At 42.7% G+C, this 25,272-nt stretch overlaps 1 protein-coding gene across 5 annotated transcripts in view; it reads left to right on the top strand.

Annotated features, from left to right (window-relative positions):
- ST8SIA6 (ST8 alpha-N-acetyl-neuraminide alpha-2,8-sialyltransferase 6) overlaps positions 1-25,272 on the top strand; it is a 139,175-nt gene that overhangs the window by 20,300 nt on the left and 93,603 nt on the right. The gene's annotated exons all lie outside the window — the stretch shown is intronic.

The raw sequence follows: 25,272 nt of genomic DNA, 5'->3' as shown, positions 1-25,272 counted from the left end.
GTTTGTAGCAAAGCACGTCAATTGTTGAATCTTAGAAGATTTTCTGGGACTCTGCCCTGGTCAGCCGGAGTTTCAGAATCTGTGGACATAGTCCCAAGAAAGCATCTGTCCCTGCTCCCAAGGAGTCCCCCATCTAGAGAGTGGGAAGCAGCATGTGTAATGACCATTCTGCATAAATGCTGTCCTTGAGATATGTCTAGGCATGAAGAGGGGGTAGCCCAGGGGAGAGAAGCCAGGGGAGGCTAAACAGGTACAAGTGCCTGTTTTGAGTCTTGGAAGGATAAGTAGAAATTCCTTGAGCAGGCAAGCAGGGAAGAAGACATTTGCACCACATCTAAAGGCTTAAGGATATAAGAACAAGATGGGTTTGTGAAGCTGAAAAATCCCTCGGGATGGCTGGGTCCCAGGATATGTGTTGAGGACAGGTGAATGTGAGGCTGGAAAAGTAGATAGGGGGGCTAGAAAACAAAGGGGCACTCCTTGCTAAATAATTCAGGCATTATCTCACAGGTTTTGAGACTCTACTGAAGGCTTTTCAGGTGAATGACCTGATGAAGTCTGTAATTTGGAGAGATTACTGGGGCTACAGTGAGGCAGAGCTGATATTCAAGCCAGGATGGCCATACCAGTTATTAAAGTGCTGAGAGGGCTGCATCCCTGAGTCCCAGGTGCTCTGTCCCCAGCCCCTGGCCCTCCTTCCAGGGACTCCAGAGGTGGATACCTGGTTGAGTGGCTGTCTACACTGGGGAAGTGCCTACCATGGACCCAGCATCTGTTTCTGATCAGTTGGGGTCTATCATGAACATTAAGTATTATTATGTTTATATTTTTGTTAGCTTGATGGGCGAAAATGGTATCTCTTTGTTTTAATTGGAATTTCCGTGATTACCAACGGTTGGATATTAAAGCTCTATCTTACATCTTTAATCTGGCAAATAAATTAGTGATGCCCTGTGATTATTTTTTTGGACCACAGGTGTTTAACAATTATTTAAGCAAGGGTGTGTGTGTAACAACTTGATATAGATGTGTCACGTGTGTTTAACAAGCTGATATAAAAATGTGTTATTGTCCTGTTGAGGAAAGGTACAGGTTATTTTTTTTCCCCCAGATTTAAAATGTTCCTGAGTCATATAAAGAAGCCAGAGAAGTTGGGATGTGACCTGTCATTGGTCTGTTAATAGAGAAACTTCAGCCAAATTAAATTTAAAGGAGTTTAATTGAGCAACAAACGATTCATGAATTGGGCAGCTCCCAGAATCACGGCAGATTCAGAGAGACTCCAGGGATGCCTCATTGTCAGAGTGAATTTATAGACAAATAAATAAATAAATAAATAAGGAAGTGACACATAGAAATTGGCAGTGAGGTACAGAAACAGCTGGGTTGGTTACAGGTTGGCGTTTGTCTTATTTGAACACAGTTTGAACACTTAGCAGTCTATGAGTCGTTGAAGTATGGCCGCTGGGATTGGCCAAAACTCAGCTATTGTTATAGGCACATACTTCTAAGTTAGCTTTTCAATCTTGTCTGACTATTAAGCTAGGTTACAGTTCGTCCACAAGGACCCAAATATAGAAGTACGGAGTCCTCAGGCCATATTTAGTTTGCTTTAACAGGTCTCACTCATCTGTTTCCTTGAGCCATTAAGCAGGATCTAAATCAGACACCAATTTGGTGTCAACTCTTTGAAAAGCTGAAAAGTGTGTTTATCATTGTCTGTGAACTCATATGCAACTGCATTTGTTGGCTATATTTTTTCCTGCTAGCATGTTTTTAGCATAAAGGTCATAAACTGGCAATAATAATGTATCATAAACGCAGGTAGTCTCTTGAAATTCACATTCGTACGCATTACATCACGGCAAATGCGTGGGGTGGAAAAGGACCTTCTCCTCCTGTCTGCCCGGATTGTTGTAATTGCCTCAGAACTAGTGTCCCCTTCCAGAATCTATTCTCAAAACAGCACACTAAGTGGTCCTTTTAAATACAAACTCCATCCTGTCCTCTCCTCCAGTGACTCCTCAGTTCACTCAGTGAAAGCTGAAGTCCTTTCCGAGGCTGGTGAGTCATTAAAAAATCTGGTCCCCACTGCTTCTCTGACTTCATCTCTTTCAATTCTACTTGCTCACTGTGTTCCAGCTGCATGGAACTTCCAGTTATTTCTAGAACATAGTATGCTCTGGCGCCTTGTCTCCAACAGTGTTCTCTTCCTGGACTAAGGGTCTTTCATGAGCATCCCCCAGATACCCACCTAGTCTACTTCTTGCTTCCGGTTTTCGGCTTCCGGCTTCCGGCTGTCTCTCCCTTCAGCCTCCACTCCTATCCCTACTTTCCGCTTCCTCTTTCTTTGCCCTATTTTTTCCTGTACCACTTTTCACCATATGACACCACATATATTTCACAGTACTTGTTCTTATCTATCTCCTCCTACTAGGCAGCGAGCTCCATGTGGACAGAGATGTTTGTCTGTTTCATTTACTGTTGTGCCTGGAATAATAATGGCATATAGTAGAAACTGACTATTTGTTGGGCAAATTCCTTTTTTTTTTTTTTTTTCCAAACGAAGACCATGAGGCACAGAGAAATTGCAGTGATTTGCCTAAGGTCACACAGTTAGTAAGTATACAACTTGGGACTTGAACCCAGGACGCCTTCCCGCAGGGTTGTTTTTAGGACAGAGAGGATCTCACGCTGGCTTTCTGAATTCTTTCCTTGTTTTTCCAGCGGGCTCTGCGTTGTTGTTCTAACAGTTTATGCTTTTTCTACCATAGCCCAGGCGGGCTATATTTTTCAGAAATCCAAATAAATCTATATTACAGTCACACCCTTTCCCCCCCCTTAAAACGAAACTTTTATTCACTAAAATAACTGCTTTCAAATTGGTATATCATTATTCCGGTCACACTTTGAAATGATGTGCTTAAAATACTTTTAAAACAGCACTGTGAAGAAATTTCTTTTATATAAATGTTACAAATGTGGTTCAAAAGACCTGCCCTGACTTTCTTTCCCTTACCCTCCATCTCGGGGTGGGAGCTACCTGATCCTCAGGTGACTTCCAGCCATCCTCAGCGGCTAGTTCTCATCCTCATGTCGGCCAAAGGTGGCAGCCCTTGGGGCAGTCTGCATCACAGTTGAGAAGAGAAAAAAGGACGAGAGCAAAGGGCTTCTTCCTAATGAGGCTTTGCCTTTGTAGTTGAAAAGGAAATCCCTACTCAAAGATTTCTGCCTAAATCTTTTTAGCCATAAGTGTCACATGCTCAGCCTTGGCTTCTGGAAGTCTAGAAATATAAATGTCTCGCTTGGTGCCTGTGTATTGAAGGCAGGGAAAGGAAAGGGGTTTGGGAATGGCTTTGGGCCACTGTCTGCCACAAGAGGGAGCCCCAGATCACACTGAGCAAGTCTTTCACGTAACCTTAATAAGAACATAAAAGGAATAATCAGCAGAGCAAATAGACAACCCACAGAATGGGAGAAAATATTTGCAAACTATGCATCTGTCAAAGGGCTAGAATCCAGAATCTACGAGGAACTCAAACAAATCAGCAAGAGAAAAATAATCCCATCAAAAAGTGAGCAAAGGACATGAATAGACAGTTCTCAAAAGAAGATATACAAATGGCCAACAAACATAGGAAAAAATGCTTGACACCACTAATCATCAGGGAAATGCAAATTAAAACCACAGTGAGATACCACCTTACTCTGGCAAAAAAAATGGACATTATTAAAAAGTCAAAAACAACAGATGTTGGCGAGGATGGGGAAAAGGGAACACTTAGACACTGCTGGTGGGAATGCAAATTAGTACAGCTTTTATGGAAAACAGCGTGAAGATTCCACTAAAAGTGGATCTACCATTCAATCCAGCAATCCCACTATCAGGTATCTAGCCAAAGGAAAAGAAATCTATATGAAAAATACACATGCACACACGTTTATAGTAGCACAATTCACAATTGCAAAGATGTGGAACTGACGTAAGTGCCCATCCAATGAGTTGATAAAGAAGATGTGGTGTATATACACCATGGAATACTACCCAGCCATAAGAAGAAACAAAATAATGTCTTTTGCAGCAACCTGGATGGAGCTGGCGGCCATTATTCTTAATGAAGTAACACAGGAGTAGAAAATCAAAAACTGTATATCCTCACTTATAAATGGGAGCTAAGCTATGAGTATGCAGAGGCATACAGGGTGCATATAATGGTCTTTAGAGACTCAGAAAGGGGAAGATGGGAGGAGGGCTAGGGATCAAAAAACTACACATAGGTACAATGTACACTGCTCCGGCGATGGGTGCACTAAAATCTCAGAATTCACCACTGTACAATTCATCCATGTAACAAAAAAACACTTGTACCCCAAAAACTATTGAAATAAAAAAATTTTAACAAAGAATATAAATATTTGGAAGAGAAGAGATGCTATAGAAGAAGGTACCAGATGCTAAATGAAGCTCCAAATGGTAAAACGTGAAGTACAAATAGAAGTTGAAAAAGTAAGGCCAGGCATTGTGGCTCACGCCTGTAATCCTGACACTCTGGGAGGCTGAGGCGGTCAGATCGCTTGAGCCTAGGAGTTCAAGACCAGCCTGGGCAACATAGTGAGACCCCATCTCTACACAAGATACAAAAATTAGCTGAGCACGGTGGCATGCACCTGTAGTCCCAGGTATTCTCAGGAGGGTGAGGTGACAGGATCACCTGAGCCCGGGAGGTGGGAGTTGAAGATTTCATGGGCACACAGGGAGAAACACACAGGGAGAAAGTGAAAGGGAGGAGAGGCAGTTGGAAGGGCTTCCCGAGAAAAGCAGCCGCTGAGCTGTGTCTCCGGGGACGAGCTAAGCAACCATCCAGGTGGAGGAAGAGGCGGCCAAGCAGAAGGAACAGCAAGTAAAAGAAAAGCTGAATTCATGCCACTGCACTCCAGCCTGGGCAACAGAGTGACACCCTGCCTCGAAAACAGAAAAGAAAAATAGAAATAAAAGGTAGAAAAAGTACTGAGGAGTATGTGGGGGTGCTGGTGGTGGGGTTAGTCGTGGTGATGATCTATTATATCCCTAAAGTGAAAAACTGGCAGTATAAATGAATAAGCGATCATAAATTGTAAGGGTAATTGATGTAGTCCAAAATATGAAACCAAGTTTTAAAGAGATATATCTACTAATACTAGATATAAACCAACAGGAGGAGGGGGCACTACAGAACGAAACACAAGATGTTAAATGAAGCCCCAGATCCCGCTTACTGTATGTGCTACTAATATCATCATGAATCCCCACACACAACAGGAAGGGGGTGTGGCGGTGCAGCTCAGGCCACAAAAGCCACATAACATGTTGACAGCGTTCAACCCCCATTCATATCTCAGGTTATCATGGACTGACTTCTGCCCCACCTACTGTTCTCCCAGCAGGCTTTCTGCCGAGATGGTCGGCAACATAGCCAACAGGCATCTATCCTTGTATTACTTGCTTCCTCGAATTTGACCATGCCTTCCGCATCACACGATGCCAGCTCTGTGGCTGTCCTCTGCTTCTTGGCACTGCTCTTCACCTTCCTGTCCCCTTTTCTATCAATTCAGACACATTCTTCTGTCTGGCCTCTGCGCCCTTTTACTTGCTGTTCCTTCTGCTTGGCCGCCTCCTCTTCTACCTAGCCGGCTGCTTAGCTCCTCCCTGGAGACACAGCTCAGCGGCTGCTTTCCTCGGGAAGCCCTTCCAACGGCCTCTCCTCTCTGTAACTTTCTCCCTGTGTGTTTCTCCACATAGGTCAGTATGACGCCAGTGTCGACTGACTTTATTTGCCCACTTCTAGGGTAGATTGAGAACAATGCAACAGCAGGGACTACCCATCATTTTTGTATCTCCAGCATTTATGGAGGGTCATATATCAAATAAAAATAAGCATTTGCTACATCAGTGAATGAATGAAAGTATTAGGGTTTGTAATGTGCTCTACAGACAGGAAGCCATCAGCAAGACAACTAAGGAGGGCCAGAGTGTGGGGAGGGGAGGGGAAGGGCCGATGGCGGCTGCACCAGGACACACCCAGCTGGGTGCTTGGCACATATTATCTGCTTATCATCAAAGCAACCTATGGAATACATGTTCCAGGTTTTATGCGATAGCATTTAAAGAAATGGGCATTGAGGGAGATTTGGTCACTCACTTTAGTGAGGAAATCTGCTAGAGATAAGACTAAAAGTTAACAGGGCTTAAAATGAAGTCAAAACAATGTCTCAAAATGCTCTGACAATAAACACGATGATCTTGTTTCTTTTTCTTCATACAAATAGAAGGACTCTTGTGTACTTCTTGCCTACTCAAACTCAGAGGCAAAAAGAGAAAGTGCTAGTCAGGGCTGTCCTCTTTTCATCAGCAAGTGTGTTTCCATGAATCCAAGATACCTGGCCATTTCTGATAGGCCATTGCTCCTGCTCCTTCAGGAATAAAGGACGAAGTGCAAGGCATCGCCTTATCAACAGGCAAGTGTCCAATGATTGCCTCTGTGAGACTGAGTCTGACTTCAGTTCTCAATATTGTCTTTTTTGGAAACCCCTTGTCATACTGTCCCTGGAGAAGAATGTCCATGTATATCAGGACTTTGGCTGAATTCACATTCAGCTGCCATCCTCAAGTTCTTGTTTTCACTTGACTGTCTCCGTGACCTTGATCTATAGAAAGGAAATCCCATCACCTTCTCCTCTGTAACTGTGAGGCAGCAAAGACAAAGCTGCTGATTGTTCTATGGCTTCGGCTCATGCTGTGATGGTGCAGCGCACTTTGAAGAGGCCTCTTCTGGAATCATTCTGACTCTGTCACATCCCCATCCCAGGTCTCCATCAGGTCTCCATCGCTCTACATCTGAAAACCTTTGGTTGTAGAACCTTGGCCTAGAGCCAAGTGTGGTCCCCAGGCCAGCAGCATTGGCAGCACCAGGGAACTCCTTAGAAATACAGATTCTCAGATCTCACCCCAGAAGACTTAATGAGAGACCCTCCAGTTGAAACCCAGTCCCTCCTAATGACTTTGATACATGCTAACATCTGAGAACTCTCATTCCTCAATGCTGGAGGTATTAGCAGTATCTTTGATCATCAGACCGTGGCATTGAACATTTTTCTCTGTTTTTTCTTTATCCCCCTTTCCCCCTTTCATGCACAGAACTTTTTTTTTTTTTTTCAGACACAGTCTTGCTCTGTCTCCCAGGCTGGAGGGCAGTGGTGCGATCTCAGCTCATTGCAACCTCCGCCTCCGGGTTCAAGCTATTATTCTCCTGTCTCAACCTCCCAAGTAGCTGGGACTACAGGTGCACACCACCATGCCTGGCTAATTTTGGTATTTTTAGGACAGACAGGGTTTCACCATGTTGGCCAGGCTAGTCTTGAACTCCTGGCCTCAAGTGATCCACCCACCTCTGCCTCCCAAAGTGCTGGGATTAGAGGCGTGAGCCACTGCGCCTGGCCCCGTGCATAGAACTTTTTCTGTACCAAAAGATGAAGTCTTTCTGCCAGTAGATCCATGAATTTTGTGGAAAATATCAAGAAGGGACAGGATTTTGGTCTAAAAGACCACCACGCTTTTACATTGTAGCAGCCAGGCTCAGCCCGTAGCCCCTCAGGTCTTACAACGAAAGTGCTTGCAAGTCAACTTCCACCTGCCAGCCTGAACATTTCTTTGCTTGAGGGCTTTCTCTGGCTGGCTGAACCACTTTCCTTGAGATGTGGGAGAATTAATGTCCCTGGGAGCAGCCTTCAATTAATGACTGACAAGTGTTGGCTTTTAAAAACGCCAGCTCTTTTTCCCACTTGGGTATCTCTGAAGCTGGTTCTCACTGGCTCCCAGAACTCTCCACACCGTTTTTTGCTGCAGTTTCTCAGTTAGCCATGTAAAAACTTGCTAGATAGCATGCATTTTATGACATGCATTTCCTTATGTATCTGTTTTAATTGCCTCCTAGTCACCCCATTGGTAAAGGGAGATTCTCACCCCAGGATTATGGGGATACCTAGACACATGACACCCAGCACTAGATAAGGAGATGGATGGCAATGTATTAGTCCCACATGTTCACAGCAGGGCAGAAGAGGACATCGCGTGCCACACAGGGTCACCAGCACTTGGGAACAGAGTGAAGAAGCAGGGGCTGTGGGAGGCTGGCTTTGTAGTATCAGCAGGGTGGAGCTTCCTCTAGTGCCTGTGGGAGGATGTGACTGTCTCGTTTGAATAATGCTATGGGGTGGCAGGCAACTGAACCCCACTACTCAGAGATAAGCAGGAACCGTGACTGGTTCCTGTGATAAGGAGGATGGCTTGGCTAGGGTACCTTATCTGTGGAAAAAGAGTGGGGATGGGAACTTGCAGTTAGGGCATTTGAGGCCCTCACAGTTTTTCCCAGATGTCAAAGCATGCATAATATTGGATCTTAATTTTAGGCCTTATACCACCGTATCTCCACCTTCCCGCTTCCCTCCCATTTTACCTGCAATTATCTCCTAAACAACCTACTTACATTTCTTTCTTTCTTTCTCTCCCTTCCTTCCTTCCCTTCCTTCCTCCTTCCTTCCTTCCCTTCCTTCCTCCTTCCTACCTTTCCTTCCTTCCTTCTTTTTCTTTCTTCCCTTCCTCCCTCCCTCCCTCCTTTCTTCCTCTCTTTCTTTCTTTCTTCCTTTCTCTTTCTTTCTCCTTCCTTCCTTCCTTTCGTTCTTTCCTCTTTCTTTTGACAGGGTCCCACTCTGCTGCCTAGGCCGGAGTGCAGTGGCATGATCTCAGCCCACTGCAGCCTCCGCCTCACAGTTTCAAGCATTTCTCCCACCTCAGCCTCTCAAGTAGCTGGGATTACAGGCGCACCACCATGCCTAGCTAATTTTTATATTCTAAGTAGAGACGGGGTTTCATCACGTTGGTCAGGCTGGTCTTGAACTCTTGATCTCAGGTGATTCAGCCTCCTCGGCCTCCCAGAGCGCTGGAATTACAGGTGTGAGCCACCCATGCCTGGCTTATATTTCAGTCCTTGTCTTGTGGTCTGCTTTTGGGACAACCCACATTGAGACAACTATAGGTATACATGTATCCTGCCACTCGAGATGTGTGTATATGTAAATAAATATATATATAAAATATACGTATATGTTTGTAATTTCTGAAAGTCATTTCACTTTATAGAATATTCCTAGGTTATTATTCCAATGTTGAGTCCCAAATAGCTGGTGGTAAGATGAAGCAATTTTTTTAGAGTTAACATTGACGGGTGGCTGGGCGTGGTGGCTCATGCCTGAATCCCAGCATTTTGGGAGGCTGAGGCGGGAGAATCACTTGAGGCCAGAAGTTTAAGACCAGCCTGGCCAACATGGAGAAACCCCGTCTCTACTAAAAAATACAAAAATTAGCCATGTATGGTGGCTTGTGCCTGTAATCCCAGCTACTCAGGAGGCTGAGGCATGAGAATCGCTTGAACCTGGGAGGCAGAAGTTGCAGTGAGCCGAGATTGTGCCACTGCACTCCAGCCTGGGTGACCGAGACTCTGTTTCAAAAAAAAAAAAAAAAATTTATGATGTTATGTATTATTTCTTCCTAAAAGAAAAATAATTAGTGGTTGATGGGCACAGCTGCAAGTAAAACAGGGAGATAATGAAATAAGTATGAATAAATGGAGTGAGAAGAAATCTCATATTAGACCTGTCGAAATATCCTGTAAAATGAAAATACGGTTTGTCTTTTATCACTGACAATCAGAGCACAATCTTTAAATGAATACATTAATAGATGGCAGGCTTATACTCACACTCATATACTCACACACACACTGTGTGGGGGCACAGGCAGGATTGAAATATGGTGTCTGTTACAATGACAATGATGCAACAACAGAACTTGGAAATAGGCCAGGAACGGTGGCTCACACCTGTAATCCCAGCACTTTGGGAGGCCGAGGCAGGTGGATCACCTGAGGTCAGGAGCTCGAGACCAGCCTGTGCAAAATGTGGAAACCTCAGTCCTACTAAATATACAAAAATTAGCTGGGCATGGTGGTGTGCACCTGTAATTCCAGCTACTCAGGAAGCTGAAGCACGAGAATTGCTTGAACCTGGGAGGAGGAGGCTGCAGTGAGCTGAGATTGCACCACTGCACTCCAGCCTGGGCAACAGAATGAGACTCCATCTCAAAAAAAAAAAAAAAAGAATTTGGAAATAATGTTATAGAGGTCAAAGGTAAGGCAGTTAAGGCATCAGGTGGGGTGATGGAGAGAATGTTGCTGCAGGCAGAAAGTTAGAAAGTGTGAGCATGACCATAGCTGGACAGAAGGATTCAAGGGAGATTTGCTATCTGTCTGTCCTTGATGTGGGATAATTTTGCAATAACTGTCACGTGGTAGGTACTGGATGAACATGTGTGGTTTCTGCATCACTTTAGTTATCTACAGAGCACCTAGTAAGATATATATTGTGTGGTTCTGAAGATGATTTCAGACAGAGATGTAAGATTCCTGTGAGATTATTGCCTATGTATTTTGGGGCCCATCAGGGATGCCTGACTGCACTGGAACAAGTGATCTATTTTGGTGTGCAGAGTACAAAGGGGTGGGAGGGGCATGCCCCTTTTCTGTAGATGTCGTGTTGTTCTAGGGATGCTGTCTGCTATTGTATTCTCATCAGAGTGGTAGTGGAAGAGAAAGGAAGAGCATCTAGAGACAATGCAAGTAACAACCCAGAAAAGCCTGGAAAGTGAAGAGAACTGCTAGTGTGTGAGAAGATTATTAATTTATTAAAAAGTATATTTGGAGCACCTGTAATGTAAACCCACACTGTGCTAGGCATGCAAAGAACCAAACAGACATGAGGTCTCTAGACTCATGGAGCTAGTTGGAGGAGGGAAACACAAATTACTGAATCCCAGGAATATTAAGTTATGTGCAGGAAATGAAAATAAGATGCTACGAAAACAGATGACAAGGAAACCAACTCTGGGGGATTCCAGAAGTTTCCCCCAAGGAAATTAATTATTAGGATTTCGAGAACAGAAGTGCGCAATTGTAAATATAGTGAATTTCACAAGCTTCCACTTATTTGTTTTAGTACGTGTTTGGAATTTCTGGGATAGCTGCTGTTTCTGGTGCAGTTTCAATGCTTCTGTCTAATTACTTGCTAATTTGGCTGCATAATTTATCAGGTCCATATTTTTTGTTACCAAGCACTCCCTGAGTGTCTCCTTGGCTCCGGTGCAGCCAAATGAATGGCAGTACTATTCTATTAAAATTGCACCCATGCACATTTATTTTCTGTTACATTGAACGGGATTTTCATCATTTTCCACTTGGCTGTATTCAAAGTGAAATTAGCCTTGTGCATCATCCTATCTAGAACGTATTGTTCAATAATTTCTATCCTTTCTATCATTCGCTTCTCTATCTCTTAGCATGCTGAAAATTGTTCAGTATTTCTTGTTTAATTTTGGAAATTTTAGCAAAATTCAGTTGGCTTTTAAGTGATACTCAATCAGTGAAACCCAGTCATTCCAGGTAATTTTAAGTACCATTGACTGTAAAGACATAGACACAGCATCGTCATTAAAGTAGAAGAAGACAAATTGTTGCCCCTCAGAGTCAGTAAAATAGTTTTTTTACAGTCCGTTTCACTAAGTGTTTAGAATGTGTATTACCTGATTAATCAATGTGTCTTGAACCTTGACAATGTCAATGTATTCTCACTGTTCAGTACAGGATTGGCAGCGAGAGAGGAGTAGAATTATTAAGGTCTATTTGCCATGAAGTAGTACATTATCAGGCTTATGATTAAAGTAGCTGTTGGCTAACATTTGGTAAAGAGAAGATCAGAATTATGGGAGGACAGAAAAGGATATATAAATTTTGTCTTTCTGATTCACAGTAATTGGATCTGACTGGCTAACTCTTGTCCCATAAAATAACTCTTAATTACTTGTGGGAGGGGGGAGGTGCTTCAGGCAAAAATGTGGACCAGGGAATAAATTCATTATTTTGGACATTGAAAATGGTATTTCACAAACGTTTTAGAACAGTTGACTCTTTCAAATGTAAGCTTTTCCCTAAAGATTTTTAAATTTATTTTGCTCTTCAATATTCAGTTTTTTTCTCTTTTAGCGTGATTAAAGACTGTTTCTATTGGCTTAAAGATTGTTCTCTTGATTAAAAGTGAAAGAGATCATTGTTAGGTGTTCTCCTTTATTGATGCAGATTTAGGATTGAAGTTATCTTTATGTATGAAATTATAAATTCTATATTATAATAAATAAAATCTATAGTATAGTCTATAATAAATTCTGAAAAGGGCTGTATAAAGCAAACACTTGCAGAATCTTTATTCTTCTCTACTTGTTTCCTTTATACTTTGATGGCTGCGTACCCATGGAAAATATCGTCATCAAAAGGAAATAAAATTGAAGGCCGGGCACAGTGGCACCTGCCTATTATCCCAGTACTTTGTGAAGCCAAAGAGGGAGGATGACTGGAGCTCAGGAGTTTGAGACCAGCCTGGATACCATACTAAAACCCCATCTCTACAACAATTTTTTTTTTAAATTAGAAGGGCACGGTGACACACTCCTGTAGTCCCAGCTAGTGGGGAGGCTGAGGCAGGAGGATCCCTTGATCCCAGGAGGTTGAGGCAGCAGTGAGCTGTGATTACACCACTACACTCTAGCCTGAGCAACAAAGCAAGACCCAGTCTTAAAAAAAAATTAAGTTTAAGACTTGTTCTAATTTGTATGAATCCTTTTAATTCTAAGATCTCACTCATTCAGGGCTAGTTAATTGGGCAATTTATACACACAATTTTTTTGCATGCCTGTTAGAAGCACAGGTCAATTAAACTACATACTATACAATTTCTTTTGTATTACGGACTGCTGTAAATTGGATTTCCTGGGCAACACACTCTGGGATACAGATTTGTATATAGGACACTTATTAGGAAGTGCTCTCAGGAACAATGCCCATGAGGGAAACAGGACTAAGCAGCAGGAGAAGACAGATAGATCCTAATGCAGTTGCAACAGAGGACTCAGCCAGTTCCACAGGGGGCTTGAGGCTGGCATGGCCTTTCCCAGTTGTGTTCTACCCCAGGTAAGGGGCTAGGCATCAGTCAGTCATGACGTGGCTGCCTCTCAGGAGCTGTGATATGTTTTGGCTCTGTGTCTCCACCCAAATCTCTTGTCAAATTGTCATCCCCATGTATCAGGGGAGGAGCCTGGTGGGATGTGATTGGATCATGGGGCTGGATTTCCCCCTTGCTGTTCTCGCGATTTCACCCTTGCTGTTCTCGTGTTCTGTTCTCATGACTGAGTTCTCATGAGATCTGATGGTTTAAAAGTGTGGGCACTTCCCCCTTTGCTCTCTCCTGCTGCCCTGTTAGAAGATGTGCCAGCTTTCCCTTTGCCTTCCGCCACGACTGTAAGTTTCCTGAGGCCTCCCCACTCAGGTGGAACTGTGAGTCAATTAAACCTCTTTCCTTTATAAATTACCCAGTCTCAGGCAGTTCTTTATAGTAGTGTGACACCAATACAAGGTGTCACCTTGGAAGAGACAGTTCCTTTCACAGAGGACACCTGTGTGGGAAGGATCCAGTGTGGGCCATCAGCAGACAAAACTCCCAGTAGCTGGCAGGATGAAAGTAGAGGGCCTGGGTGGCATGCCACAGCATTCTGTACAGGTGTTATCAACTATCTCATGGTGCCTAAATCAGCCCCAGGAGATATGCATGAGTATCTAGTCTCTAGATGACCCTTATAGAGTTTTTGGGTATGATCACATGTAATGCAAATATTCACATGACTTTCACCATAACAAAAATGTGCACTAGCTTTTATTTTATTTTATTTATTTTTATTTATTTATTTTTTTGACGGAGTCTCGCTCTGTCGCCCAGGCTGGAGTGCAGTGGCGTGATCTCAGCTCACTGCAAGCTCCGCTTCTCGGGTTCACGCCATTCTCCTGCCTCAGCCTCCCGAGTAGCTGGGACTACAGGCGCCCGCCACCACACCCAGCTAATTTTTTGTATTTTTAGTAGAGACGGGGTTTCCCCGTGTAGCCAGGATGGTCTCGATCTCCTGACCTCGTGATCCGCCCGTCTCGGCCTCCGAAAGTGCTGGGATTACAGGCATAAGCCACAGTGCCCAGCCCACTATCTCTTTTATAAAGCACTTTAGAGTCTTTAGACTTTGAGGTAATAATTTTTTTTAAAAGTTAACTATATCATGGTTATCATTTTAAAACCTCCTCCTTATCCATTTGGAAAACGTGTGTCTATTTAAGTCTCCACCAGGTTGTAATATTTTTTAAAGGAAATTCTGATGATATAAATGCAAAAGAAAAAATAGGAAAGCATCTTTCAAATTAGCATGACTGCATGATATCAGATTCAGAAAGGGTAGGTGGAAAGATAAAGTGTGTGTTAAAAAAATGTGTGCAAATCAATGGCTGTGAAGTTGTAAGAAGATTGTAGGAAAAAAGCTAAAGGATACAAGAACCTCCAATGTTTTTTGATAGCCATGTTTTAAACAAAAACAAGAAAGGGATATGATGCTCACTGTTTGGAGCAGATGGCATATTGTTCCCTGAGGGTGGGGAAATCAGAACAGCTCCTTTTTTCTTCTGTCTATGACTTCCTTTTCAAAGACAATGATCTTCATATTGGAAACATCTAGCCATAAAGGAGGCAATGGAAACGCGACTGTGTGGAGTCGTTATTTTTTTTGTTTTTTTGTTTTTGTTTGCTTGTTTTGAGACAGAGTCTTGCCCTGTTGCCCAGGCTGGAGTGCAGTGGCACAAACATGATTCACTGCAGACTCATCCTCCCCCTCAAGCCATCCTCCCACCTCAGCCTTCCAAGTAGCTGGGACCACAGGCACACACTGCCATGCCCAGCTAATTTAAAAATTTTTTGTACAGACAAAGTCTCACCATGTTGCCCAGGCTGGTCTCGAACTCCTGAGCTCAAGCAATCTTCCTGCCTTGGCCTCCCAAAGTGCTGGGATTACAGGTGTGAGCCACTGCCCCCAGCTCTTCCAGTCATTTTAAGCAAATTTCATTCTCCACATGGAGAAAAATTACAGCCTGGTACTAAAGGTTCTTTATATGTGTAATTCGATACTTACTACTGGTGATCATTAATGAATCACAGAGAAGTTGAGAGATGATAGAAAATGACAAAGGGAAAAAATGTTATTTTGCTATGTAAAGGGAAGATAAAGATTTATTTTGGAAACCATAGATTGGTGAGCATGACTAAATTTTTCTTTTTTTTTTTTTTTTTTTTTTGAGATGGAGCCTTGCTCTTATTGCCCAGGCTGGACGGCAGTGGCACGATCTCCGCTCACTGCAACCTCTGCCTCCCAGGTTCAAGCGATTCTCCTGCCTCAGCCTCCCCAGTAGCTGGAATTACAAGCACCTGCCACCACGCTTGGCTAATTTTTGTATTTTTAGTAGAGACGGGGTTTCGCCATGTTGGCCATGCTGGTCTCGAACTCCTGACCTCAAGTGATTCACCTGCCTCGGCCTCCCAAAGTGCTGGGATTACAGGCATGAGCCATCGCGCCCAGCTAGCTTGACTTAAATTACTGTAAACAATTTGAAAGGAAAATGATAACAATTGGAGGCCATATGTCTGGCTAACCTCATTTCTTGCTTTGGAGGGAAGCAAGGAGAATGCTTGTAACAACAAGGGCCCTGTAGGTAAAAGCCATGGGTTCGAATCCTCCTTTTGTCATCTATCAACTGAATGACAGTGGTCATGTCCTATGAACACTCAGAGCTTCAGTTTTCTCATATGTATGTAACCTTGTTGAAATCACAGGCCCATGGCATTCAGCCCAGGCTGGTATTTCAGGAAGCACAACTCAACATGCCAGAAAAAAAATTTGTGTCCTTATTTTCCTTCTTCTTAAAGTACATAAAAAGGGCTCCAGGCTGCACATGGTGGCACATGCCTGTAATCCCAGCACTTTGGGAGAATCACTTGAGCTCAGGAGCTTGAGACCAGCCGGAACAAAGCAAGACCCCATATCTGCAAAAAAATGCAAAAAAAAATTAGCTGAGTTTGGTGGCACATGCCTGTAGTCCCAGCTACTTGGAAGGCTGAGGTGGGAGGATTGCTTGAGACCAGGAGCTCCAGGCTGCAGTGAGCTTTGATCGCACTACTGTACTCCAGCCTGGGTGACAGAGTGGCCCTAATTCAGAATCCTCATCTATGCTGCAATCCCATTTACTCTTCTCAGTTATTTATTTCCCACACCCTCTCCCAAACTCAAGTTTGACAAATGCTGAAAGAACTTTCTCACTTACACCTGGACTATATAGATTTCTTTCCCCTTCCTGTACTCCCTCCCCTACCTCCTCACATACACCTCTGTACTTTATTATTTTTGACTGACAACAGATTTCTCCAAGTCTTACCCCTCCTAAGCCTTTCAGGTTCTATCTTCTATTAATTCCCTGTCAACTCTCTAACTCTGATGTGTGAAGAGCCCAGGACTGGTCTAGCTGAGACAATTCTCCCTAGGAGACAGATGGGGCAGGAACAAAAGGAGAAGCAGGGAAGGCAATTAGGGGCTTATTTTGGCAGCCTGGAGCTGGGTGGAGAGTCTGAGATCAACTTCATTCTTTCAGTGAACATTCATTGTGTGCCAGGTCTGTGCTTGGTGCTGGAGAATGTGCAGGGAGCATGCCAGACAAAAGCCTGCCCTCCTGGAGCTCACTGTGCTAAGTGGTAGGAAAGAAGTCGAAATAAATGCTGATGGCGGGGGTGGGAGGTGAGCATTCCATAGGGAGTAGCAAAAGTCACTCTGAGGGGTTGACATTCGAGTTAAGACCTGAAGCACTAACAGGAACGCTCAAGGCAGAGGAACAGCAGCCCTAAACATGGCATATTTGAGAAGCAGAAAGAATGGATCATGGAGGGTGATAGGGTTTGGATGGTTGTCCCCTCCAAATCTCATGTTGAAATGTGAGCTTCAGTGTTAGAAGTGGGCCTAGTGAGAGGTGTTTGGGTCATGGGGGCAGATCCCTCATGAATGTCTCGGCAGTAATGAGTGAGTTCTTATTCTCTGAGTTCACACAAGATCTGGTTGTTTCAAAAAGCCTGGCACTGTCTCCTCTCTCTCTCTCTCTATCCATGTGATGTGCTGGCTCTCCTTTACATCCCGCCATGATTATAAGCTTCCTGAATCCCTCACCAGAAGCAGATGCTGGCACGATGCTTTGTGTACAGCCTGCAGAACTGTGAGCCAAATAAACCTCTTTTCCTGATGAACTACCCAGTCTCAGGCATTTATTTACAGCAATGTAAATGGACCAATACAGAGAGCAAAGGAGGAAATAGACCTACTAAGTCAGGTTATGTTGTAGGATGCAAGCCTTGGTGAGGATGAGTTTTATTCTAATAATAAGTGAAGCCTCAGAAGGGTTCTGAGCAAGGGCATGACAATATGTCATGTATGACAAGTATGATTTAAGTTTTTAAAAGAGTACTCTGATAGCTGCATAGAGAATGTGTGGCAGTCAGGCAATTGAAGCAGAAAGACTACTTATGGGGCCATGGCTTCCATCCAGACAAGAGCTGATGTGCCTTGAATGAGGCAATAGAAGTACCGATAAAGAGAAGTAGATGGATTTACGGCTGAATCGTCAAAAGCCCGGGTATAGGAGAGAAGAGAAGGACAGGAATCCGAATGATAAATGTTTGGCTTGAGCAGTTCATTACCATCCATAGAGATGGGGAAGACTGGAAAAGAGGGAAGTCAAAGGTTATGTTTTGGATATGCTACATTTGACAAGACTATTAGACGTCCAATTGGAAATGTCAGATGGGCATTTCGACCATATAAATGAGTCTGGAGCTCAAGGGAGAGGTCAGAACTGCACATATCAATCTGGGTGTCATCGCCAGAGAGATAGGACTCAAAGCCAGAGAGTAGAATGAGCTCACTTAGCTCTGGAGATAGGTGGAGAAGAAAAGGGGATCTAGGAGCAAGTTCTAGGGTATTCCCACATTTAGAGGCTTGAAAGAGAAGCAGAAGCCAGCAAAGGAGAGGCAGAGGGAGCAGCCAGGGATGCAGAAAGAAAACCAGGAGAGTGTGATGTGGTTTTCAGGGAAGAGGAGCAGTTGACTGGGTCAGGTGTTCTTGAAAGATCAAGTAAGATAAGTGCGGCCCAGTACAGTGGCTCACCTCTGTAATCCCAGCCCTTTGGGAGGCTGAGGCCGGTGGATCACTTGAGGTCAGGAGTTCAAGACCAGCCTGGGCAACATGGTGAAACCCTGTCTCTACTAAAAATAAAAAAATTAGCTGAGCACGGTGGCGCACCTGTAATCCCAGTTACTCGGGAGGCTGAGGCAGGAGAATCGCATAAACCTGGGAGGTGGAGGTTGCAGTGAGCCGATATCATGCCACTGCACTCCAGCCTGGGTGACAGAGCAGGATTCTGTCTCAAAAAAAAAAAAAAAAAAAAAAAAGACAAGTGAGGCGTCCATTGAATTTGGAACATGGGGGCTTTTGATGAGCTTGAGATGAGCCATGTTGGGTGAGAGAGCCCTTTCTTTCCACTCTGCATGTCTGATATTTGAGTCTGAGAAATAAACTAACAGATCACTTAACGAGAGAAAAGGCTAACACATATATTATGTGTATGCGTGCATTCCAGGAAGGTGAGTGTCCAATGACCCAATGGGATTTAGAAGCTTATATACCCTTCTTCACAGGGAGGGGGAAGGGTGGGATGCAGACAATTTAGAGGAGGAGTAAATGAGTTTTAGGGAAGATGAATGGGCCTGAAGAACAGATGGTAGTCTGAGACAAAGCCCATCTGGACTCCTGGTGTGTCATCAATTCTAGTCTTCTTTTCCTGGGATAGGCTTCAGTCTTCTCCCAGTCATTGAGATACCCTGGGGAAGCGATTGACAATGATTGAGTATCTTAGGAGAATCCTGTGTTTAGGTAGGGAGGGACCTTTGGGGAAAGTCCTTCTCTGCATTTGCTGCTCTCCATGTGCTCTCAGTTTGAAGTCTGAAGTGTCATATTTTGGGCTTTCATTTTCTGAGTCCCAGAAGCTACATTAGCCAGTTTTAAGTCTTCTGATGAGGGAATAGATTGTTGAGGAAGGGGAAGCAGTAATTTTAGATAATTTGTTAGAGAAGTGGTGCTTACAGGGGGTAGAAAAATGAGTTGGGAGATGGAGAGGGATTATGGAGTCAAGGGAGGAGCGTGTTTGTGTGCTTGTGAGAAGGATAACCCTAGTTATGTAAGAGAAGGAAGAGATGAGGGGGTCAGTAATGTTAAGAAAGTGAGACGGGCAGGAGCCAGAACATACTGGGGGTTACTGATTTTTGATGAGAGCAGGGACATTTTTTTCTGTTGTAACATATGGTAAGATGAAAAACACAGGCACTCTGAAGGACTGAATTCTGTCTCCCCAAAATTCATGTTGAAGCCACAGTCTCAAATGTGACTATATTAGAAGATAAGGTCTTTAGGGAGATAATTCTATTTAAATGAGGTCATAGAGCTACCCCTTAATTTGATAGGGCTGGTGTCTTTATAAGAAGAGGAAGAGACACTAGCACTCTCTCCCTCATGCATGCACCAAGAAAAGACAATGTGAGGACCCAGCCAGCAGGCAGCTGTCTGCAAGCCAGGAAGAGAGCCCTCACCAGGTACCAACGATGCCAACATTTTGAGTCTTCAAAATATGAGATGAAAAATTTCTGTTGTTTAAGCCACTCATTTTATGGTATTTTGTTATGGCAGCCCAAGCTGACTAAGACAGGCACAGAAACTTAGAGATTTTTAGATACAGTGGGAGCAGTATGAAAGTGTTGCTCCTCTGCAGGCTTCTATTTTTTTCAATAAAGTATGAAGTGAGGTCATCAGCAGCAGAGAGTGAGTGTGGAGGTGGGGATATGGGAGGTTGGAGGAGACGGGAGAATAAATAACAATTTTGAAAGAGGAAAATGAAATTTATTAGGAAAACATAGTAGGACTGCCAGGTATCCTTAAATGCCCATTTGAAGTTCATAGAACTTAGAGTGAAATCATTCAGGAGAGTTTCTCTAGCAGTATTTGGCTAGTTGGGGGTAGCCCCAAATGGCAAAGAGTTGGGTACATCCATGCCTCCAAATTTGCCAGTCAAGGACAACAGAAAAAGAAACAAGAGAGATAAGAATGTTTTCAAGGGTGTGAGTTGGGGAAGGAGGGAAATGAAGATAGGAGGCGTGTATGAAGATAGGAGGCGTGTATTGGGCATGGGGGCTTCTCAATGAGATTAAAGAATCACTGCAGAGAGAATACTAGAATAAGTGAGCTGGATAAATAGAATGTATTGACATTAACAGTAATATATTCATTATATGAAACTAGTGATAAAAAATACCCACTTCACAGGATTATTCCAAGGAACAAATGGAAATACTTGGTAAACGACAATGTGAGTTATCAGTCTTACAGTAACTAAAGTAATGTAGAAGATAAAACAGATCTTGATTTCTTTAGGCCATTCTACTACAACTATCATGAACAAAATCATAATATGTAAATGATAACATGCTAACTAGATTTATGACCATTGAAGAAGAATATCAAAATTGTTTATTCTGCTTATTTTTAGCTCTGGCCCAATTCTAGGGCCATTCCCTTGTCAAAATGGTCAGTATTTCTGTGTAAGACAATCCTTTATGTGAGAAATTTCAGAGTGGGACACTGTGTAAGTAAGCCATTTGGTGTTTTCCAGGTATCAGCAATGATTAGACAGAAGCGATGTCAAAGAACTATAATTTTAATTTCAGGAATTTTAAGCCAATAGTTGGAGGAACTCTGAAGAAATGTAGACAGTCTGTTTTTCTTATATCTTGAATTGCTCAAGCAGAATGAGAATGTGATAAGACTCGTAAATTCCAAATTACATTCGACTGTATCTAATAAAGAGATTTAAGAAGTTGAGAAAATATATGTTATTACTGGGAAAGAAATAGAAAGTTAAGCAAAAAAAAAAAAGAAGAGGAGAAGAAAAGATAATAAGTAGTTGAACTAAATGGAAGCGTTCAATGCCCAAGGAAAAAGCCCACAGCTGTAATAAAAATAATCATCCTGAATATTATATTCCTTGAATTAAAAAATGCATTCAATCTTTGATAGAGTTGAAAAAGAGGTGTTTTAGATAACAAAATGCTAGCACTGTGTAAACACTGATCTCAAATTCTCCTTAGTTCTCTTATACTAATGTGCACTTATATGGATTTACAGGTCCTTAGAAGTACTTACTGATTCATACATACTTTTATCTTTTGTTAATTGATGCATAATAATGTACATAGTTTTGGAGTACACATGACAATTTAATACATTTGTATAATTTGTAAATATCAAATCAGTATACTTGGGATATCCATTAAGTATTTGTCTTTTCTTTATGCTAAAAACACTCACCTTTTTCTCTTGTAGCTATTTTGAATTGTACAAAAGATGGTTGTAAACTATAATTACCCTGCTGATCTATCTAACATTAGGTCTTATTTCTTCTATCATATTGTATATTACCATATATACTTTTAAGTACTTACAGATATTTACCCATTCCTGTAAAATTCTTGCAGTCAAAGTTTCTACAGACCTGAATATTAGGAAAATGCAGGTTTAGTCCTAAAAAGGATACCGTGATGCAGCCATTGATGTAGCAGTGACTGGCTCCCCTAGGCTCAAACAATGCATTGACCTTTAGAGGGCAGCCAAGTGGAGCTCACGCAGGTTAATTCCAGTGCATGGCCTTGTTAGATCACATCATATCCCCTGCCTAGTGCCAGACACTTAATGCAGGAATAGTATGGTTTCAGGAGCCCCTCTCTGTCCAAAATTTGGTACCTGCTTCAGAGTCAGAATCCCAACTTTAGTGCCTTTGATTGGATTAATAATTTCTCTGAGCTCCAGGTCTGGGGATTGGGCTTGGCTTGGCAGTTGGGTTAGTCAATGGGATAGGATGTGGCTCTAGAGTTGCAGTGGCTGGAGGTTGGAGGGCCTGGGATGAGGGATAGGCTAGCAGGGAGAGCAGGCATTGTCCTAAGAAACAGAAGCCCAAAAATCTGTGATGTGAGGATGGTCACAGCAATTGCTAACCATGGTCAAGAGGGATCCCCAAAGGTGAAAGCTGAGAATGGCAAATCTCTTCAGCTGGAGTGGGGGTAGAAGTTGAGACAGGGGCAAGCATGGGCAGGCTAGGGAGGCAAGAGGGGCCAGGGTGCAGCGAGAGGGGCTTAAATGATTGCAGCCATTTGAACAGGCTGGCCATGGCTCTCTTTGGTTTTGCTTAAAGGCAACTGAGTTAGGAGTGAGGGCAGAAAAAAAAAAACATTCCTTAAAAGCATTTTCTGAAATGCAAATATATGTTCATCATGAAGTGTGAAACATTAAAAACTCATTAGAACTCATTGCCATGCATGATCCTGCTCACAAAGCCTAGTTTTTCAGATGAATAGGAAATAGGGCCAGGAATTAAAGAACAAGAACAGATATCCTCCAGGTGGAAGGTACTTTAGAGAGAAACCTGACATGTCTTGGAAAAGAGGTCTTGCAGGCAAATAGAGACAAAGCACCTGGGCTCTGCCAAGTTAGAATGAAGACAGCAAAGCAAAAGAAAATCTGCAACAAGACAAAGTAGCTCCAACTTAACTAGATGCAGGTTATTCCAAATTTAAGTGAAATAACAGTGGGGCATTTTATCAGCTGGGAAATTGGGAATAAGCAGATAGAAGATTAATACACTTTCATGCAATCAAGAGTTCAAGTCTGGGCCAGGTGCAGTGGCTCATGCCTGTAATCCCAGCACTTTGGGAGGCCCAGGTGGGAAGATCACCTGAGGTCAGGAGTTCGAGACCAGCCTGGCCAACATGGTGAAACCCCTTCTCTACTAAAAATACAAAATTAGCCGGGTGTGGTGGTGGGCACCTATAATCTCAGCTACTAGGGAGGGTGAGGCAGAAGAATTGCTTGAACCTGGGAGGCAGAGGTTGCAGTGAGCCGAGATCGCACTGCACTCCAGCCTGGGCGACAAGAGTGAAATTCTATCACACACACAGACACACACACACACACACACACAAAGAGTTCAAGTCTGTTGGGTAGGGTTATTCCTTCTGAGTTGTCTGAAATGACATGTGATTGATTGCATTTCTCAGAACCGACTACCACATTCAAGTAATTTTATTCCATCTTTTTTGAGGATCACTGTTTTGTGTGTTTCCTTGTTGAAATTCATCTGTAATTGTATCGCTTCATTTTGTGATTGATAGGTCCCTTGGGATGCTCTGCTAACCCTTCCTAATTACAGTTTACCTAAGCACAGTAAATTTGGTTAGCCAATTCTCTCACACTTTCATTAAATATTAATGAGAACACTTGAGTAACATCATTTTAAATATGGTAAAATCTCAATTAAATAGAATAAACAAGGATTGAGTTTTTCTAGTTAATTAAATCTTATAATTAGCTGAAGGTTAACCAGGGGATCTTTTGGTTTGAAACCCTCCTGGTGATTTTTTTCTAGTGTCTTATTTTGTTTTTCCATCTGATCCACTCCAGGTTTTAATTTTCCCTGGATGAGTTACCATCTTGCAATACCTCATGCTTAGTTGTCTCTTATTCATTCATTCATTTGTTCAAATTTATTAGGAGGCTACTAATAGATGAGGAAGTCATACCAGAGACAGACATGACAATGGTAAAACAGCACATAAAGGGCAAATTCTAGAAGTTGTTCTTTCAACAAATTCTAGTTTATAGTTTTTGCTATTATTGTCTTACAAAGCGTGGGTTATAGAAAAAAAAAATCTTGGTTGATGGGGAGATTCTTGTGTGCTTCCTGTTAACTGAATGAAGTAGTTTTCCTCCTTTGCGTTTCAGAATTTTGAAAATCATCATTATTTTTTGACAAGGCCTTTGCCTCATTTATAAAACTGTCTCAGTACGATGAGACATATCACTTGCTATTTATACTTTATTGTGACATACTCTTCTTGCTATTTCATTTCTTATTTAAGGTGCATGCAAATGTTTGGGCATGATTTCTGAAAGATTTTTTGCACTAATCTTTGTTCTGATGACACTCAGCTGAACTCCACAAATAAACCCCAAACAGTCTTTAGAAGATACACAAACACTCTCCAGTTTTGAATGTTAAACCAGCATATTAGGATTCTGTTCACTGCTCACATGTGTCTGACAACTAGTTTTTGTAGTGTTAGGTTTTCATGGTATATCATTTCCCTGGGGCTTCCACATTAATTAGGCAGCTTTTCCATATTGACTCCCAGACTTGGACCGGTTTTCATTGGTTCACTTCTTTCTTGCTCTGTTGGCCAGAAATCACTCTATGGTTTTTGTTTATTGTTTGTTTGTTTGTGATGGAGTTTCGCTCTTGTTGTCCAGGCTGGAGTGCAATGGCGCGATCTTGGCTCACCACAACCTCTGCCTCCTGAGTTCAAGCAATTCTCCCGCCTCAGCCTCCCGAGTAGCTGGGATTACAGGCATGCACCACCATGCCGGCTAATTTTGTACTTTTAGTAGAGACGGGGTTTCTCCATGTTGGTCAGGCTGGTCTCAAACTCTCGATCTCAGAAGACCCGCCTACCTTGGCCTCCCAAAGTGCACTGGTACAACCACAGCTTACTGCAGCCTCATACTCCTAGGTTCACTTTTTTTTTTTGGTATAGGCAGGGTCTTGCTATGTTGCCCAAGCTGGTCTTGAACTCCTAGGCTCAAGTGATCTGCCTGCCTTCGCCTCCCAAATTGCTGAGATCCTGCCTTGGCCTCCCAAATTGCTGAGATTACAGGCATGACCCACCACACCTGGCTGCTCTACCCTATTAAACTTTGTTTTGCCTTGTTTTGTTCTTTTAAAGAAGATTCCACAACACCCTCTACAGGAGTTCCTAGGTATTGAACCTGATGCTTTCCTGAAAATGAATATAAAACATGAATATGTAAAAGTTGAGCTATAGACTTGCAGATTGTAAGAGAATCTTCACTCTTAGATGAGTAAACTTATTTTAAAACTGTAGTTATGGTTCAAATATTTAAGTATTTGTAAATTATTTAATGTTACAGCACCTAATAGCCATCTCAAACACTCAAATTAGCATGGAGTCAACACTGAATACAGATAAGGTATTTTCCCATTAAAATTCTTATTTCAGCTGGATGCTGTGGCTCACGCCTGTAATCCCAACACTTTGGGAGGCCAAGGCAGGCAG

This window comes from Homo sapiens, chromosome 10, assembly GCF_000001405.40.
Source record: "Homo sapiens chromosome 10, GRCh38.p14 Primary Assembly".
NCBI lineage: Eukaryota > Metazoa > Chordata > Mammalia > Primates > Hominidae > Homo > Homo sapiens.
This window is presented reverse-complemented; position numbering and strand designations above follow the sequence as displayed.